The sequence below is a fragment of the Homo sapiens genome, chromosome 19 (genome assembly GCF_000001405.40).
Source record: "Homo sapiens chromosome 19, GRCh38.p14 Primary Assembly".
Classification (NCBI taxonomy): domain Eukaryota; kingdom Metazoa; phylum Chordata; class Mammalia; order Primates; family Hominidae; genus Homo; species Homo sapiens.
The window spans coordinates 55,510,095-55,527,495 of NC_000019.10; the positions used below are offsets into that span (position 1 = coordinate 55,510,095).

The 17,401-nt window shown below is 51.5% G+C and overlaps 1 protein-coding gene across 1 annotated transcript in view, besides 5 other annotated features; it reads left to right on the forward strand.

Annotated features, from left to right (window-relative positions):
* Window positions 1–9,005, forward strand: part of SSC5D (scavenger receptor cysteine rich family member with 5 domains) — a 30,664-nt gene extending 21,659 nt beyond the window's left edge. The window contains exons 13-14 of the mRNA NM_001144950.2: window positions 2,917–3,078; window positions 7,130–9,005. Of these exons, the coding sequence (NP_001138422.1) occupies window positions 2,917–3,078; window positions 7,130–8,904 (1,937 nt within the window). The 3' untranslated portion in view covers window positions 8,905–9,005. The remainder of the gene's footprint in view (window positions 1–2,916; window positions 3,079–7,129) is intronic.
* Window positions 6,812–7,313: an enhancer, noted in NCBI's record as "H3K4me1 hESC enhancer chr19:56028273-56028774 (GRCh37/hg19 assembly coordinates)". NCBI's record gives its function as "activates a minimal SCP1, AML or CMV promoter by ChIP-STARR-seq in primed H9 embryonic stem cells {active_cell/tissue: H9 hESC(primed)}" and the evidence as "EXISTENCE:reporter gene assay evidence [ECO:0000049][PMID:30033119]".
* Window positions 6,833–6,992: a silencer, noted in NCBI's record as "silent region_11041". NCBI's record gives its function as "represses an Ori minimal core promoter by ATAC-STARR-seq in GM12878 lymphoblastoid cells {active_cell/tissue: GM12878}" and the evidence as "EXISTENCE:reporter gene assay evidence [ECO:0000049][PMID:35858748]".
* Window positions 7,123–7,302: a silencer, noted in NCBI's record as "silent region_11042". NCBI's record gives its function as "represses an Ori minimal core promoter by ATAC-STARR-seq in GM12878 lymphoblastoid cells {active_cell/tissue: GM12878}" and the evidence as "EXISTENCE:reporter gene assay evidence [ECO:0000049][PMID:35858748]".
* Window positions 11,372–11,522: a silencer, noted in NCBI's record as "fragment chr19:56032833-56032983 (GRCh37/hg19 assembly coordinates)". NCBI's record gives its function as "represses an EF-1alpha promoter that drives an FKBP-Casp9 reporter gene in an ReSE screen in phorbol 12-myristate 13-acetate-treated (for megakaryocytic differentiation) K562 erythroleukemia cells {active_cell/tissue: K562(+PMA)}" and the evidence as "EXISTENCE:reporter gene assay evidence [ECO:0000049][PMID:32094911]".
* Window positions 16,063–16,937: an enhancer, noted in NCBI's record as "H3K4me1 hESC enhancer chr19:56037524-56038398 (GRCh37/hg19 assembly coordinates)". NCBI's record gives its function as "activates a minimal SCP1, AML or CMV promoter by ChIP-STARR-seq in naive H9 embryonic stem cells {active_cell/tissue: H9 hESC(naive)}" and the evidence as "EXISTENCE:reporter gene assay evidence [ECO:0000049][PMID:30033119]".

A 17,401-nucleotide genomic window follows, 5' to 3' on the forward strand; every position in this document is an offset into this window, starting at 1 on the left:
TCAAGTGATTCTCATGCCTCAGCCCCCCAGTTAACTGGGACTACTGGTGTGCCCCACCACACCTGGCTAATTTTTGTAATTTTTAGTAGAGACGGGGTTTCAACATGTTGGCCAGGCTGGTTCTGAACTCCTGGGCTCAACTGATCCACCTGCCTTGGCCTCCCAAAGTGCTGGGATTACAGGCGTGAGCCGCCGTGCCCAGCTTGATTTGTGTTCTTCATGGAGTCTTCCTAAAACCCAACATCTTGAAAATACATCTTTTTGGTTTTTTTAGATGGAATTTTGCTCTTGTTGCCCAGGCTTGAGTGCAGTGACATGATCTTGGCTCACTGCAACTTCCGCCTCCCAGGTTCAAGTGATTTTCCTGCCTCAGCTTCCTGAGTAGCTGGGATTACAGGCATGTTCCACCACGCCTGGCTAATTTTTGTATTTTTAGTAGAGATGGGGTTTCACCATGTTGGTCAGGCTAGTCTCAAACTCCTGACCTCGTGATCCGCCCACCTCAGCCTCCTAAAATGCTGGGATTACAGGCGTGAGCCACCATGCCCAGCTGAAAATATATCTTTAGTGATTCACTGCTAATGGGTTTTTTTCCCTGGACTATTTTTTCTTTTTTCTTTTTTAATTAATAGTACCACTAATGGTGGTGTTTTTGTTTTTGTTTCTTGGTTTGCTTTTATGTTTGTTTGCTTGTTTGTTTTTGAGAAGGAGTCTCACTCTATGGTCCAGGCTGGAGTACAGTGGTGTGAGCTCAGCTCACTGCAACCTCTCCTTCATGGGTTCAGGCGATTCTCCCGCCTCAGCCTCCTGAGTAGCTGGGATTACAGGTGCCCGCCACCATGCCCAGCTAATTTTTGTATTTTTCGTAGAGACAGGGTTTCACCATGTTGGCCAGGCTGGTCTTGAACTCCTGACCTCAGGTGATCTGCCTGCCTCGGCCTCTCAAAGTGCTGGGATTACAGGCGTGAGCCACCACACCCGGCCATTACCACTAATGGTTTTTCAGGTTTCCTAATGGGTATGGATATCTGGTAGGATTTTATAGCTACCCTTTTAAGGTGTCTAATAGAAATGGAAAGGTATTTGATTAAGAATGGTTAATAATACGAAGGCATGACGGAGGTGTCTGCTGTGCCTGGCATCAGGGTGAAATTTGACCCTTGTTCTATCAGCGTGCAGTGTCTTAGCAGGTAACGGAGCAAGGGATTTCTGTAATTGGGACCACTAGCCACAGAGCTTAAGGCGACATCGGTCAACTTGCCCAAGGTCTTGGACACTGCCCTTCTGCCTGGTTTTGCGTTTGGAATGAGAAAACATCCTAACGGGCTCAGTTGGGTAGGAAATGAAGAGGAAGGGAATTCGGGGTGGGGGCGGCAGCGTGGGCAGAGGCTGGGAGGTGTGAAAAGCCTGCGCGTTGTGGTTGTTCCCAGTGTTTTGCTGTCACAAATATGGCTGCTATGAACTCCTTGTACCCATGAATCCCTGGGCTCATGGGTAAGGATTTCTCAGCACCTCCTTGTGGAATTGCTTGTGGAAGCAGGCATGTCTCCCTAAACACTGCAAACCTGCCCTCCTAACTCAAGGTCAGGGTCCAGCGTGAGCAGAGCATCGTGTAGGACGAGACGATGCTGGAGAAGCTGGCAGGGGCTGGTTATGAAGGAAGATGGTGTCTGTGGGCCGTGGGGACTCATGGAAGGGTTTAGGGTGGAAAGGGGCAGGTGTCTGCCAGTTTTTAAGAGGCCTCCAGGATCAGTGTGGGGGGCCAGGGTCTCAGGGGAAGTTGGTTTGATGATTCGGATAGGCAATGAGTATGGAGTGTTTTGTTCGGGTGATGAAAGTGTTCTCAATTTTGATTGTGGCGATGGTCACGCAAGCTTGTGAGTGGGTAAACCCCCTCAGTTGCAATTTCAAGCTGATGAATTGCATGATACGTGACCTGTATCTCAAGGAAGCTGTTGTTGAGGCCGGGCACGGTGGCTCACACCTGTAGCTCACTTTGGGAGGCTGAGGCAGGAGAATCACTTGACCCCGGGAGGCAGAGCTTGCAGTGAGCCGATATTGCGCCACTGTACTCCATCCTGGGTGGCAGAGTGAGACTTGGTCTCAAAAAAAAAAAAAAAGAAAAGAAAAGAAAGCTGTTGTTTGTATAAAGCTAGGACTGAATTATCATTCTATTCTCCCTAAATAAAATGGCATACATATATGTATATATATTATACATTTATATGTTATATAAAATTGCTATTATATAGAGATTAAGTGCATTTGGCCAAAAAAAAAAAAAAGGAAAAATAGTATTATAGAGATGTTCCAGGCAGTGAATTAATAAAGATGTTATGGTTTTTCCCCCGCTAGGGCAGGAGCCTTGAGGAATTAAAATAATAAATTCCTTTTTTTTTTTTTTTGAGGCGGTGTCTCGCTCTGTCACCCAGGCAGGAGTGCAGTGGCACAGTCTTGGCTCACTGCAACCTCTGTCTCCCAGGTTCAAGTGATTCTCCTGTCTCAGCCTCCCGAGTAGCTGGGATTATAGGCGTGTGCCACCATACCCAGCTAATTTTTTGTATATTTAGTGCAGATGGGGTTTCTCCATGTTGGCCAGGCTGGTCTTGAGCTCCTGACCTCAAGTGATCTGCCTGCCTCAGCCTCCCAAAGTGCTGGGATTACAAGCTTGAGCCACGGCGCCAGGCCCAAATGCCCTTCATTTTATGTGCTAGTTTAGTGACCGTTTCCGTCGTTGGTAGCCAAAAACATCCCAGCTGAATGGAGAAGGTCTCCACGAGGTCAGGTAGGGCTGCAGTGGCGGTGCAGTTGAGACGGGATGATGCCTGAACTGGGGCTGGCCCAGGAGGAGAGAGACGGGGAGTCAAACTCAAAGGGAAGTTGGAAGACTCAATCCTCTTCCCCATATCTCTCTAGGCAGCAAAGATGGTTACAAGCTTCCCTGGACGTGGGACACACCATCAGGAAGGGGCCTGGCTGAGGGGACCCCTACCGCAGGCAAACTAGGACCAACTCTTGGGGCTGGCACCACCAGGAGCCCAGGCAGTCCTCCAACTCTGAGAGTCCATGGAGACACAGGTGAGACACGTGGCTGGGGTGAGGAGACTGGGACGGTATTTGTCCTGGGGTAAAGAGACAGATTCCAGACTCCCCACTGGAACCCTTACCCCAGAAAGACTCAGCAGAAATATACCCTAAAACAAAGGGTTATCGGCTGAGCATGGTGGCTCATGCCTGTAATCACAGCACTTTGGGAGGCCGAGTTGGGAGGATTGCTTAAGCTCGGGAGTTTGAGAGCAGCCTGGGCAACATGGTGAGCCCCCCAAGATATGAACATTAGCTGGGTGTGGTGGTACGCACGTGTGGTCCCAGCTGCTTGGGAGGCTGAGGCAGGAGGATCCCTTGAGCCTGGGTGCTCGAGGCTGTGGTTGTGCCACTGTATTCCAGCCTGGGTGCCAGAGCGAGACCTTGTCTCAAATAAAGACAAAAACAGAACCAAGAGGTTATTATCTAGACCGCTGGTCATCAACTAGGGTCGATTTTGCCCCCAAGGGGAATTTGGCAATATCTGAAGATATTTTGGATTGTCATGGCAGGAAGTGAGAGGCTACCCATTGGCACCTGATCGGTAGAGGCCGGGGTGGTGATAAACATTCACAATGCACACGACATTCCCCATAACAAAGAACCACCCAGCCCTAAATTACAATAGTACCGAGGTTGAGAAACCCCAGCCTAGATGGCATAAGTCACTGTGACAAATAGGAAAATGATAGGAAACCCTAGATGAGAAAGAGGAAAACAGGTGATTCCCAGAAAAGGAAGCCCAAATGGCTGAGTGTATTTAGAAATGCCCACGCTCATCAGGAACCAGAAAATACAAATTAAAACAATGGCAAGTACAGAGGAGAATGAGAAAGGTGGGTATTATCCAGTGTGAGTGAGGATGTGGGAAGACAGGCAACCCCACTGGACAGAGCTGTTTGATAAAGACAATCCAGCAGTATTTAGTAAAGTTAAGCATGATTAGGCTGGCTGCAATGGCTGACGCCTGTAATCCCAGCACTTTGGGAGGCTGAGGCGGGCAGATCACGAGGTCAGGAGATCGAGACCATCCTGGCTAACACGGTGAAACCCTGTCTTTACTAACAATACAAAAAATTAGCCAGGCGTGGTGGTAGGCACCTATGGTCCCAGCTACTCGGGAGGCTGAGGCAGGAGAATGGCGTGAACCCAGGAGGCAGAGCTTGCAGTGAGCCGAGATTGCGCCACTGCACTCCAGCCTGGGCAACAGAGTGAGACTCTGTCTCAAAATAATAATAATAATAATAATAATAATAATAATAATAATAATAATAATAATAGGTGTGGTGGCAGGCGCCTGTAATCCCAGCTACTCGGGAGGCTGAGGCAGGAGAACTGCTTGAACCTGGGAGGCGGAGGTTGCAGTGAGCTGAGATCGCACCACTGCACTCCAGCCTGGGCAACAGAGAAAGACTCTGTTAAAAAAAAAAAAAAAAGAGAGAGAGAGAAGAAGGGAGGAAGGGAGAAAGGAGGGAAGGAAATCTGCATGAGCTCCATGACGTAGATCTATAATTTTGCCCATTTCTCAGATGAGTGAAATTGAGGCACAGACATCAGTGACTCTGACATCAATAATTATTAGAGTGCTTATTCCATGCTAGACATTACACTAAGTGCTTTGCACAACCATGGTCTCCCTGAGTCCTTTTGACAGCTCTGCAAGGGAGATACGCGGATCATCCACAGTCTATAGCTGAGGAAGAAACTGAGATTCAAGCAGTGAAGTAACTTGGCCGTGGTCACCCCGCTAGGAAGCCATGCAGCTGGGGTTTAAACTCGGACAGCCTGCCTTGAGCACAAGCCCTTTACTTAACCGCTTCTCCAATCCTGCAAACAAAGGACAAGGTGGGGAAGGGATGCGCCTGAAAGACCCTGCCCTGCAGGAACAAGTGGAAATCTGTAGATCTGTGTGGTTCAATACGGTAGCTAAGAGCACCGGGCATGGTGGCTCACGCCTGAAATTCCAGCACTTTGGGAGGCTGAGGCAGGCAGATCACCTGAGGTCGGGGGTTCAAGACTAGCCTGAACAACATAGTGAAACCCCATCTCTACTAAAAATACAAAAAAATTAGCTGGGCATGGTGGCACATGCCTGTCATCCCAGCTACTCAGGAAGTGGACACAGGAGAATCACTTGAACCCAGGAGGCGGAGATTGCAGCGAGCCAAGATCGCGCCACTGCACTCCAGCCTGGGCAACAGGAGTGAAACTCCGTCTCAAAAAAAAAAAAAAAAAAAAAGTTAAATGAATTAACACTTTGAAAATGAAACATTTGCCGGGCGCAGTGGCCACGCCTGTAATCCCAGCACTTTGGGAGGCCGAAGCGGGCGGATCACGAGGTCAGGAGATCGCGACCGTCCTGGCTAACACAGTGAAACCCCATCTCTACTAAAAATACAAAAAATTAGCAGGACATGGTGGCGAGCGCCTGTAGTCCCAGCTTCTCGGGAGGCTGAGGCAGGAGAATGGCATGAACCTGGGAGGCAAAGCTGGCAGTGAGGCGAGATCGTGCCACTGCACTCTAACCTGGGCGACAGAGTGAGACTCCGTCTCAAAAAAAAAAATAAAATAAAATAAAAGAAAATGAAACATTTAGTTTCTCATTCACACTGGCCGCATTTCAAGGGCTTGGTAGCCACATGTGGCCAGTGGCTACTGTATTGGCACGGTAGATCACAGCGCATTCCCATCACTGCAGATGTGAGATTTCATTGCCTAGACTCTATGTGCAAACAACTTGGGTTCAAGTCTTAGCCCTGCAACTTGCAAACTATGTCTGTGTGACCTTGGGCGAGTCACCTGCCCTCTTGCCCTAATTTCCCCCTTCTGTAAAATGGGGATAAAATTGGCACTCACTTGGAAGACAGCCCCAGAAGAGGGTCAGGCTCCTCCTGCTACTCAGGCCCAAAATTTAAGGGGGTGCCCAAAACGCCAAAATCAAGATACATAATATCATAATACAGTATTTTTTAAAATGAAAATTAATGCCAAAAAAAAAAAAACCCATGATGAACTCGGTATCAAAAATGTAACTGAAGGCCGGGCGCGATGGCTCATGCCTGTAATCCCAGCACTTTGGGAGGCCCAGGCGGGCGGATCACGAGGTCAGGAGATCGAGACCATCCTGGCCAACACGGTGAAACCCCGTCTCTACTAAAAATACAAAAAATTAGCCTGGTGTGGTGGCGGGCGCCTGTAGTCCCAGCTACTCGGGAGGCTGAGGCAGGAGAATGGTGTGAACCCGGGAGGCGGAGCTTGCAGTGAGCCGAGATCACGCCACTGCACTCCAGCCTGGGCGACAGAGCGAGACTCCATCTCAAAAAAAAAAAAAAAGTCACTGAAGACAGGATCCTATCCGCCTCGCTGGGCTCCCCCTAATCCTGGCCCTGTTGGATCCCGTCTTTGGTTAAAATGTTAACTTTGGTTAACTGTGGATCTTTTGGATTAATTTTGATTGTTTAAAAATATTGCATAAAAACGCTTGAGCCCAGGAGTTCGAGGTTACAGTGAGCTATGATCTTGCCACCGCACTCCAGCTTGGGCGACACAGCCAGACTTTATCTTAAAAAATAAAAAAATCCATAAAAGTATTTATTTTGATTACTAACATTACCCTTCGGAGCCCTCTTTGGTCTCCCTGCCTCCCCTGGCTCCGCACATCTCCCAGTCCCCCGCTGGCTCAGAATCCTCCCGTATGCTGCACGCTTCTGAGCACTCCCGCCCCCTCCCGCACCCCAGCACCCCACGCATCCCTCCCTCACCTCACCCTCCTGCACCCGCTCCCGCAACCCGCGTGCCCCTCGGCATCCCCGAGTCCGGAGCATCCCCGCATCCTCCCGCAGTGGAGGACGCCAGGTGGCGCCTGGAGCCATCGGAGGACGTAGGGAGGAGGGGCCCTAGGGCCGGGTGAAGTCTGCCGGTGACCCATGACGTCTCGAGGCTCTGTGCCTTTCCATTGGTCGGCTCCTCGAGGGGCGGGGCGGGACGCGTGGTGGGCGGAGCCGGTTGACCTCAGACCGTCCGTCTGTCTTTCCTCCTCCTCCAGGTTCCCCGAGGAAACCGTGGCCCGAGCGCCGGCCACCGCGGCCCGCTGCGACCAGGACAGCGCCCCCAACCCCGTCCCCAGGTCCCTCCGCCTCTCCGGGACCCCCAGGCCCAGCGCTGACCTCTGACTCCAGTCGAGAGCTCACTCCCCACTCAGCCTTGACGTCCGAGGCGACCTCTGACGCTCCGGACACTTCACCACCCACCCCAGACCCGGCCTCCCGGACGAACCCCGACCTCATCTTGACAAGCCCTGACTTTGCTTTGTCCACCCCTGACTCCAGTGTGGTTCCCGCGTTGACCCCGGAGCCCTCACCCACGCCCTTACCCACCTTGCCCAAAGAGCTGACCTCTGACCCTTCTACACCGTCGGAGGTGACCAGCCTTTCCCCTACCTCAGAGCAGGTCCCAGAATCTGACACAACCCCAGATTTGGACACAACTCCATACTCCAGTACAGTCTCAGAATATTCTAGATCCCCAGACCCCTCCCCAAGCCCTCACCCCACTACTACCCCTGATCCCACCATGGCCCCTGACCCCATCACAACCCTTAACCCTACTGTGACCCCTCACTTCCCTACCACCCCTCACCCCACCACGACCCCTCACCCCACCACCATCACTCACTCCACCATGATTCCTGACCCCACCACAACCCCTCAACCCTTCACCACCATCACTCACTCCACCATGATTCCTGACCCCACCACAACCCCTCAACCCTTCACCACCATGCAGCCCACCACAACCCCTCACTCCACAACCCCTCACCCCACCACGACCCCTCATCCCACCACCATCACTCACTCCACCATGATTCCTGACCCCACCACAACCCCTCAACCCTTCACCACCATGCAGCCCACCACGATGCCTCATCCCACCACGACCCCTCACCCCACCACGACTCCTCACCCCACCACAACCCCTCACCCCACCACAACCCCTCACCCCACCATGACTCCTGACCCCACCACGACCCCTTACCCCACCACTACTCCTGATCCCACCACGACCCCTCACCCCACAACTCCTGACCCTTCCTCAACCCCTGTCATCACTACTGTGTCCCTTCCAACCTCCTTGGGGACAGAACTCTCCTCTCCCACTCTAGCACCAACAGTCAAGCCCAGTCTGCACCCCCAGTTGACCTTCACAGCACCTGCCCCTCACACCTCCACATCCCAGATACCCACCTTAGAGCCCTCTCCAGCCTTGGAGTCCAGCCCCTCCAGGTCCTCCACAGCCACAAGCATGGACCCACTGTCCACTGAGGACTTCAAGCCACCCAGAAGCCAGAGCCCCAACCTAACCCCTCCACCCACCCATACCCCACACTCAGCCTCTGACCTTACTGTGTCCCCTGACCCCCTCCTTTCCCCCACAGCCCACCCCTTGGATCATCCTCCCCTTGACCCCCTCACCCTAGGGCCAACTCCTGGTCAGAGCCCAGGCCCCCATGGTCCATGTGTGGCCCCAACACCACCTGTAAGGGTCATGGCTTGTGAGCCACCTGCCCTGGTGGAGCTGGTGGCTGCTGTGAGGGATGTGGGTGGTCAGCTGCAGAGACTGACCCAGGTCGTGGAACAGGAGCGGCAGGAGCGCCAAGCCCTGCTGCTGGGGCTGACGCAGCTGGTAGAAGCTGCCCGGGGTCTGGGGCAGCTGGGTGAGGCTGTGAAGAGACTGGCAGAGATGGCCTGGACCACCAGCATGCCTGCACCAACCACCACTACCCCAGAGGAAGAAGAAAGACCCCTGAGGGGAGACGTGTGACCCTCTCCAGGATTTGAGGGGCTTAAGACACCCCCAACCAAAAAAAACAAAAACAAAAAAAACCCCCAAAGTATCTAATTAAAAACAAGGTGTGAATGGTATTTTTGGGGAATCCTAGAAAGACAGAATCACAAGACTGATTTTGATATGTGAATAGCCCAGGTGCCATGCCAGGCGGTGTTGATGATGGAGATGATTATGAGGGTGGTGATGATGGTGATGATCGTGATGGTGATGGCGACGGAGATCATGATAGGGTGATGATCATTGTGGTGAGGGTCATGGTGATAATGGTAAGATGGTGGTGGTGATGAAGATGGTGAAATAATGCTGATGATCATGAGGGAATGGTCATGGTGATGAGGCGGTGAACATGATGATGATGATTATCATGATGATGATGATGGTCCTGGTCATGAGGGAATGGTCATGGTGATGAGGCGGTGGACATGATGATGATGATGATGGTGGTGGTGATGATGATGATTATCATGATGATGATGATGGTCCTGGTCATGAGGGAATGGTCATGGTGATGAGGCAATGACCATCATGATGATAGTGGTGGTGGTGATGGTGGTAATTATGATGATGATGATGAAGATGGTGAAATGAAGGTGATGGTGATAGTGATGATTGTGAGGGAATGGTCATGGTGATGAGGCAGTGACCATCACGATGATGGTGGTGGTGGTGATGGTGATGATGGTGGTGCTGGTCATGAGGGAGTGGTCATGGTGATGAGGGAATGATGGTAATGATGATGATGATGGTGGTGCCGGTGGTGATCATGGTGATGATGGTCACATTGATGGTGACGGTGATGGTGGTAGTGGAGGTGATAATGATGGTGTGAAAGGTGATCATGGTGGTGATGACTGTGAAGGAACAGTCTTGGTGATGAGGCAATGATGGTAATGATGGTGATGGTGATGATGTTGGTGATTATGGTGGTAAAGATGATCTTGGTGACGATCATAGTGATGGTCGTGACAATGATGAAGCTTCGTGTGAGCAAAAACGGCCTTGTTCATGGATGTAAGCCCAGTTTCTAGGACAGAAGCTGATGCAGAGTACACACTCAGTAATAAATATCTTTTGAATGAAAGAGTGCATCATCATCGTCATCATCATGACTAATATTTGTTGGGCGCTTCCTATGTGTCAGGCTCTGTTTTAAGAGCTTTGCATGGATGATGATGTCATTTTGTCTTAACGAGTGCCTGCTGAGGAAGGTAGTGTTACCACAGCTCAGCAGATGAGGAGGTGAGCTTTGCAGCCTGGATTCCTGAGTTTGAGTCCTTGCTGGGAGTAAACATAAGCCAGTTACTTAACCTCTGGGTCTGAGCTTCTCCAACTATAAAACAGGGATAATAATAGTACACATACCTCATGGGGTTGCTATAATGATTGAATAAGTTAATACCTAGGAGAGTGCTTATGATGGCTCTTGATAAGCGCCCGTCATGTGAGAGCAATTATTGTATTTATCCCCATTCTGCAGATCTGGGCTTCGAGGCACAGAGAGGTTTGGTCGTGCACCCCAGATCACTCAGGGAACACGTGGTGGGCCATGCTTGGCACTCAGGGCCCTTGCTCTTAAAATAATATTTTGGCTGGCCATAGTGGCTCATGTCTGTAATCCCAGCACTTTGGGAGGCCGAGATGGGAGGATGGCTTGAGGCCTGGAGTTCCAGACCAGAAATATAGTGAGACCCCCATCTTTATTAAAAAAGAAAGAAAGAAAATATTCCACGGCTGTGTCAGACTGACCTGGGTTCAAGTCCTGGATTAACCATGTCCCGGCTGTGGAACTCTGGCAGTTTCCCTCCCTTCTCTGAGCCTCAGTTTTTTCACCTGTAAAATGGGTAGAGCAATAGCACCTGCCTCATGGGGTTGTGAGGATTAAATGTGGCAGTGCAGATAAGGACAACGTGGCATGTAGGATGTGCTCAGTTAATGACAGTGCTTGCGACCACGCCTGCCTGTACTTTTCTGTGCTAACGCTGCATGGACTGTTAATCCACGTACATCCAGTCCTCACCACAGCCCTTTGAGGGAGAAACTTTGATCCCCGTTTCAGAAAGGACTCTGAGGCTCAGAGAGGGCAGGCCCGTTGCCAAAGGGCACACGGCAGAGCCAGGGACTCAAACCCTGAATACTGTGATGTGAATTTCCGTGCTTTGACCATGGCCTGCGTTTCCAGATTGGGGCTTCCATGACTGCCCCACTCCAAGCGACCGTGGGTGGGCTCCTTCCCATCTCTGTGCCTCAGCTTGCTGGTTTGTAAATTGGGGGCCGTCTCGGAAGACCCCACTACTCTGATTCTGGGTCCTGCAGCCTCAAGCAGGAAACCATTTCCTCCTCCTCCTCCTCTCTCGGCTTAGAGGTCGTGGAAGGTGATGAAGGCTGGCGCCCCCACAGTCCTGCAAAGGCCAACAGGGTCCAGTTACTTGGGCGGGGGGGTGGCGGGGTGCGGATAACGTCTGGGGGTCCTGATAGATGGACGGTCTGCTCCTGCCAGCGGGCGAAGGAGCATGCTGAGAATTCTGTTCCCCAGATCTCATTAAGCCCTGAGACTTAAATAACTGCTGACTGGTTCCCTGGAGAGGCTGAGGGGAGAGCTTCTGCCCTGGGGAGATGGGGGGTCACAGGGCAGCACCCCAACATGGAAGAAAACGGCTCCTTTTCCAGGTCCAGGTGGGAGCAGATGAACGCTGGCCCTGGGTCACCCCCCACCAAAAGTAACAGAGGGCCCAGCCTGGGGTTCGGGCTCCCAGCCCCTCTCTGCAGGCCAGAGGTGGAGGGGGGGCTGTTGGGCACTCTGGCCTTAGGCCCCTCCGCCCCCTGCCACCTTCTGCCAGCTCTGTAGAAGGGAGTGCTTAATTACCCAGTCACTCTATCCCTGCTTGGCCAGGCACTTAAGCCCAAACATCTGGCCCCAGGGCCCACGGCCAGAATAGGTGGCCAGCCCCCGCCCAGTGCTGGCCCTGGCTCTGGACACCTCCCATGGGACAGCTGAGCTCGATCCTCTGCCTGCCAGCTTGCAACTAGCCCAAAACAGTAGCTGCATAGGCCCAGCAAGCTCAATTGACGCAGAAAAAAACATTTGATGAAATTCAACAGCCATTATGGTACACACACACACACACACACACACACACACACACAGAACAAAGTTGGAGCAGAGAGGACTTCTTCATCAGATAAGGGGTACGAAGGAAGACACGTATCTTTGATTTTCCCTGGGCAATGGATGTGATCTCCTATGAGCGCTGACACAGGAGGCCCCGAAGAACGCAGCAGGTAAGCGGTTTGCGTGAGTGAGAGCTGGGCCCGATGCTGGATCCATACTCTAAAGTCATCTCACATTCCTTGCACCTCAAAATGTGACCCACGGGCCTGCAGCATTGGACTCATGTGGAAGCTGTTTACAAACACGGAATCTCATGCTCTGCCTAGAGCCACCAAAGCAAATTCTGCCTTTTTTTTTTCTTAACTTTTTTTTTTTTTGAGACAAAGTCTGGCTCTGTCGCCCAGGCTGGAGTGCAGTGGTGCGATCTCAGCTCACTACAACCTCCCCCTCCCAGGTTCAAGTGATTCTCCTGCCTCAGCCTCCCAAGTAGCTGGGATTACAGGCGTACGCCACCATGCCCGGCTAATTTTTGTTTTTGTTTTTGTTTTCTTTTTTTTGAGATGGAGTCTCGCTCTGTTGCCCAGGCTGGAGTGCAGTGGCGCGATCTCGGCTCACTGCAAGCTCCGCCTCCCGGGTTCACGCCATTCTTCTGCCTCAGCCTCCGGAGTAGCTGGGATTAACAGGCGCCCGCCACCACGCCCGGCTAATTTTTTGTATTTTTTAGTAGAGACGGGGTTTCACCATGTTGACCAGGCTGATCTTGAACTCCTGACCTCAAATGATCCACCCACCTCCACCTCCCAAAGTGCTGGGATTACAGGTGTGAGCCACCACACCTGGCCTTTTTGTTTTCTTTTCTTTTGTTTTTCTTTTGAGACAGGGTCTCACTATGTTGCCCAGCCTGGAGTGCAGTGGTATAATCACAGCTGACTGCAGCCTTGACCTCCAGGGCTCAAGCGATCCTCCCACCTCAGCCTCCTGAGTAGCTGGGACTACAGATGCACACCACCACACCCGGCTAATTTTTGTAATTTTGTAGAGATGGGGTTTCACCATGTTGGCTAGGCTGGTCTCAAATTCCCCACCTCAGGTGATCTGCCTGCCTCGGCTTCCCAAGGTCCTGGGATTACAGGCATAAGCCACCGCCCCAGCCCATATGGTAGACTATTCAGTGTACAATAGCATCATGTCTAAAAAAAAGTATTTAATCTGGGCATGGTGGCACGTGCCTGTAATCCCAGATACTTGGGAGGCTGAGGCAGGAGAATCGCTTGAACCCAGGAGGCAGAGGTTGCAGTGAGCCGAGCTCATGCCATTGCACTCCAGCCTGTGTGACAGGGCGAGACTCTATCTCGAAAAGAAAAAGGTATTTAATTACATACTTTAATTAAAAATACTTTATTGCTAAACATGCTAATGACCACCGGAGTCTTCAGCAAGTCATAGTCGTTTTGCTGGTGGAGGATCTTGCCTCGACGTTGATGGCTGCTGACTGATCAGGGTGATGGTTACTGAAGCCTGGGGAGGCTGTGGCAATGTCTTAAAATAAGACAGTAATGGAGTTTGCTGCGTCAATTGACTCTTTCTTTCATGAAAGATTTCTCTGTAGCATGCAATGCTATTTGATAGTATTTACTCCACAGTAAAAATTTCTTTCAAAATTGGAGTAAGGTCGGGCATAGTGGCTCACGCCTGTAATCCCAGCACTTTGGGAGGCTGAGGCAGGAGGATTACTTGAGCCCAGGAGTTTGAGACCAGTCTGGGCAACATAGAAAGACCCTGTGTGTACGAAGAAAATAAAAATTAGCCGGCCGGGCGCGGTGGCTCACGCCTGTAATCCCAGCACTTTGGGCGGATCACGAGGTCAGGAGATCGAGACCATCCTGGTTAACGCGGTGAAACCCCGTCTCTACTAAAAATACAACAAAATTAGTCAGGCGTGGTGGCGGGTGTCTGTAGTCCCAGCTACTCGGGAGGCTGAGGCAGGAGAATGGCATGAACCCGGAAGGTGGAGCTCGCAGTGAGCCGACATCACACCATTGCACTCCAGCCTGGGTGACAGAGCGAGACTTCGTCTAAAAAAAAAAAAAAAAATTAACCAGGTGTGGTGGTGTGCACCTGTAGTCCCACCTACTTGGGAAGCTGAGATGGAAGGATCACTTAGCCCAGGAGATGGAGGCAGCAGTGAGCTATGATTGTGCCACTGCACTCCAGCCTGGGTGACAGAGCGAGACCCTGACTCTAAAAAATTTTTAAAAATTGAGTTAATCTTCTCCAACCCGGCTGCTACTTTATTAACTAAGTTTATTAACATTCTAAATCATTTATTGTCGTTTCAACAACATTCACAGTATCTTCACCAGAAGTACTTTCCATCTCAAGAAACCACTTTTTTTGGTGCTCATTCATAAGAAGCAACTCGTCTGTTCAAGTGTTATCATGAGATGGCAGCAATTTAATCACATCTTCAGGCTCCGCTTCTAATTCTAGTTTCATTGCTATTTGTACCACATCCGCGGTGACTCCTCCACTGAAGTCTTGAACCCCTCAAAGTCATCCATAAGGGTTGAAATCAACTTCTTCCTAACTCCTGTTAATGTTGACATTTTGACTTCCTTCTCTGAGTCACGAATGTTCTTAATGACATCTAGAATGGTGAATCCTTTCCAGGAGGTTTTCAATTGACTTTGTCCAGATCCATCAGAGGAATCACTATATATGACAGCTATAGCCTTACAAAATGTATTTCTTAAATAATGATACTTGAAAGCAAAATTACTAAGGCCAGGTACGGTGGCTCACACCTGTAATACCAGCACTTTGGGAGGCCAAGGAAGGAGGATCACTTGACGTCAGGAGTTTGAGACCAGCCTGGCCAACATGGTGAAACCCTGTCTCTACTAAAAATGCAAAAATTAGCCAGGCGTGGTAGCGGGTGCCTGTAGTCCCAGTTACTCTGGAGGCTGAGGCAGGAGAATCACTTGAACCCAGGAGGCGGAGGTTGAAGTGAGCCGAGATCGTGCCACTGCACTCCAGCCGGGGTGACGAAAACAAAACTCTGTCTCAAACAAACAAAAAACAAAAACAAAACAAAACAAGAAAGAAAGAAAGAAGCAAAAAAGATAATACAAACTCTCAATAAACTAGTTGCCCAGGCTAGTCTCAAACTCCTGGCCTCAAGTGATCGTCCCACCTCAGCCTCCCAAAGTGCTGGGATTCAAGGCATGAGCCACCGCGCCCGCCCATGCTTTTATATTCTTTCACACACGTGCATGCTTTCTCATACAGTGTCTTGATCTCTCACACATAGTCTCATAATCTCACACTCATCCTTACACTCACATCTACACCTGTACTCAATCAAACGTTTATGTTCACCCCCACACATACAGCTCGCTCACGCTCACAAGCTTACTCCCTCATGCACACTCACAATCACCCGCACACACACCCTCACCCCCACCCGCCCACTCACCCACACCCCCGTGCCCCCAAGCCCCTCCTCCCGCTGAGCACGGCAGGACATCCCTGCAGGTTAACAGCAGGGACCATGTGCTGGAGCCCAGCTGGGTTCGACTCCAGGCTTTGCCCCCCGGCCCGGTGTGTGGGCACGGCGGGAACCTGGCTGCCCCGTGCGTGAGATGGGCAGAGCCCAGGGACCCCCGCCACCATCTTGGGGACAGGTCGGGGAGCAGACGTGGCCTCTGAGATCCCTGGTTGGGGTTCAGCCTCCGGCCAGCACTAAGCATTACTTAATTAGTGTCGTCCCTGCCTGCCTGCCTGCCGGGGTCAGGCCATTCCTGGGAAGTTTATGTCCTCCCCTGTGCTTCACCCATGACAGGCTGGTCATTATCACCTTTCAGATAATCCTCAGCTGCCGCCAGCAATCAACACCTCGTGCCCCCCTGCCCCCTGCCCAGTCTCCACTCCCACCCAGCATGCCGCATCCCAGCCACCTCCAGCTTTTTGGGACACATTCTTGGCCTAACAGCTCAGGCTATTTCAGATTCACAGATAAAGGGGCAGGAAGTCTTGATATATTCCACCCCCACCCCCCACCCCCCGCGTTGTTGACTCCCCTCTTCTCCCCAATGATCCCTACTCCAGGAAGCTCACCCGGATTGTCCAGGTCAGAGGCCCCAACTCTATGGCTTGAACCTGGATTCGAAGGCTCCTTGGGGTCACTCCACAGGAGCACACCTGCTGTCAGCCCCGCTCCAGGCAACACCTCGGTGGCCACAGCAGGCGCCCTGCGGGGTATGCAGGGGCCAGGGAGTGCGTGACACACGATCCAGCTCCGAGTTGTAGCCTTGCTCTGGGCCTGAGGCCAAGGAGGGCGCGGAGAGGAAGAGACAGTGTTTGCAAACAGGGCAGCTGCCAAGCAGGGGCGGGGGAGAGAGGAGGAAGGTGCGAAGGAGAGAAGGCCCAGGCGGCGCCCGCCCGCGGCGCCTGCGTGACCTTCCCACCCTGGCTACACATTGACAGGCATATGCGCGCACACACACGGATCCGATGTCCACACATAGCAAGTCACATTCACTCCCCATACACACAAGTACGTCAGCACACACAAGCTCAGATGCTCATGCAGACACAGCAGGCACAAAGCTGTATTATCATCCACGTGCAGTGAGACACACAACGCCATCCTCCCTCCTTTCCATGCATATGCATTCACACACGTGCACACACATGCTCACACATGCACACTCACACTGGCGTACACATACTCATGCTCACACATGACATTCACACTTGCACACACGTGCACACACACTTATGCTTACACATGTACACTCACTGGCGTACACACTCATGCTCACCCACGAATTTACATGTGCACACATGTGCACACTCATACATGCACACACATTCACACTTGCACACATGCACACACACATACTCGTGGACACATGAATACTCACTGGCACACATACTCATGCTCACACATGACACACACTTGCACACATGTGCACACTTGTACTCACTTATGCATATGCATACTCAATCGCACACACACGCACACACTCACACACACTCATGCACAGGACAGTCACACTTGCACATATGTGCACACTTGTACTCACACGCACGCACACACATTCATACTTGCACACATGTGCACACACACGCAAGTCATGGACACACACGCACAGTCACTGGCGTACACACTCATGCTCACCCACGAATTTACATGTGCACACATGTGCACACTCGTTCACACTTGCACACACATGCACACACATACTCGTGGACACAGATGAACACTGGCACATGCTCACGTATGACATTCACACTTGCACACATGTGCACACTTGTACTCACATATGCATATGTATACACTCAATCGCACACACACTC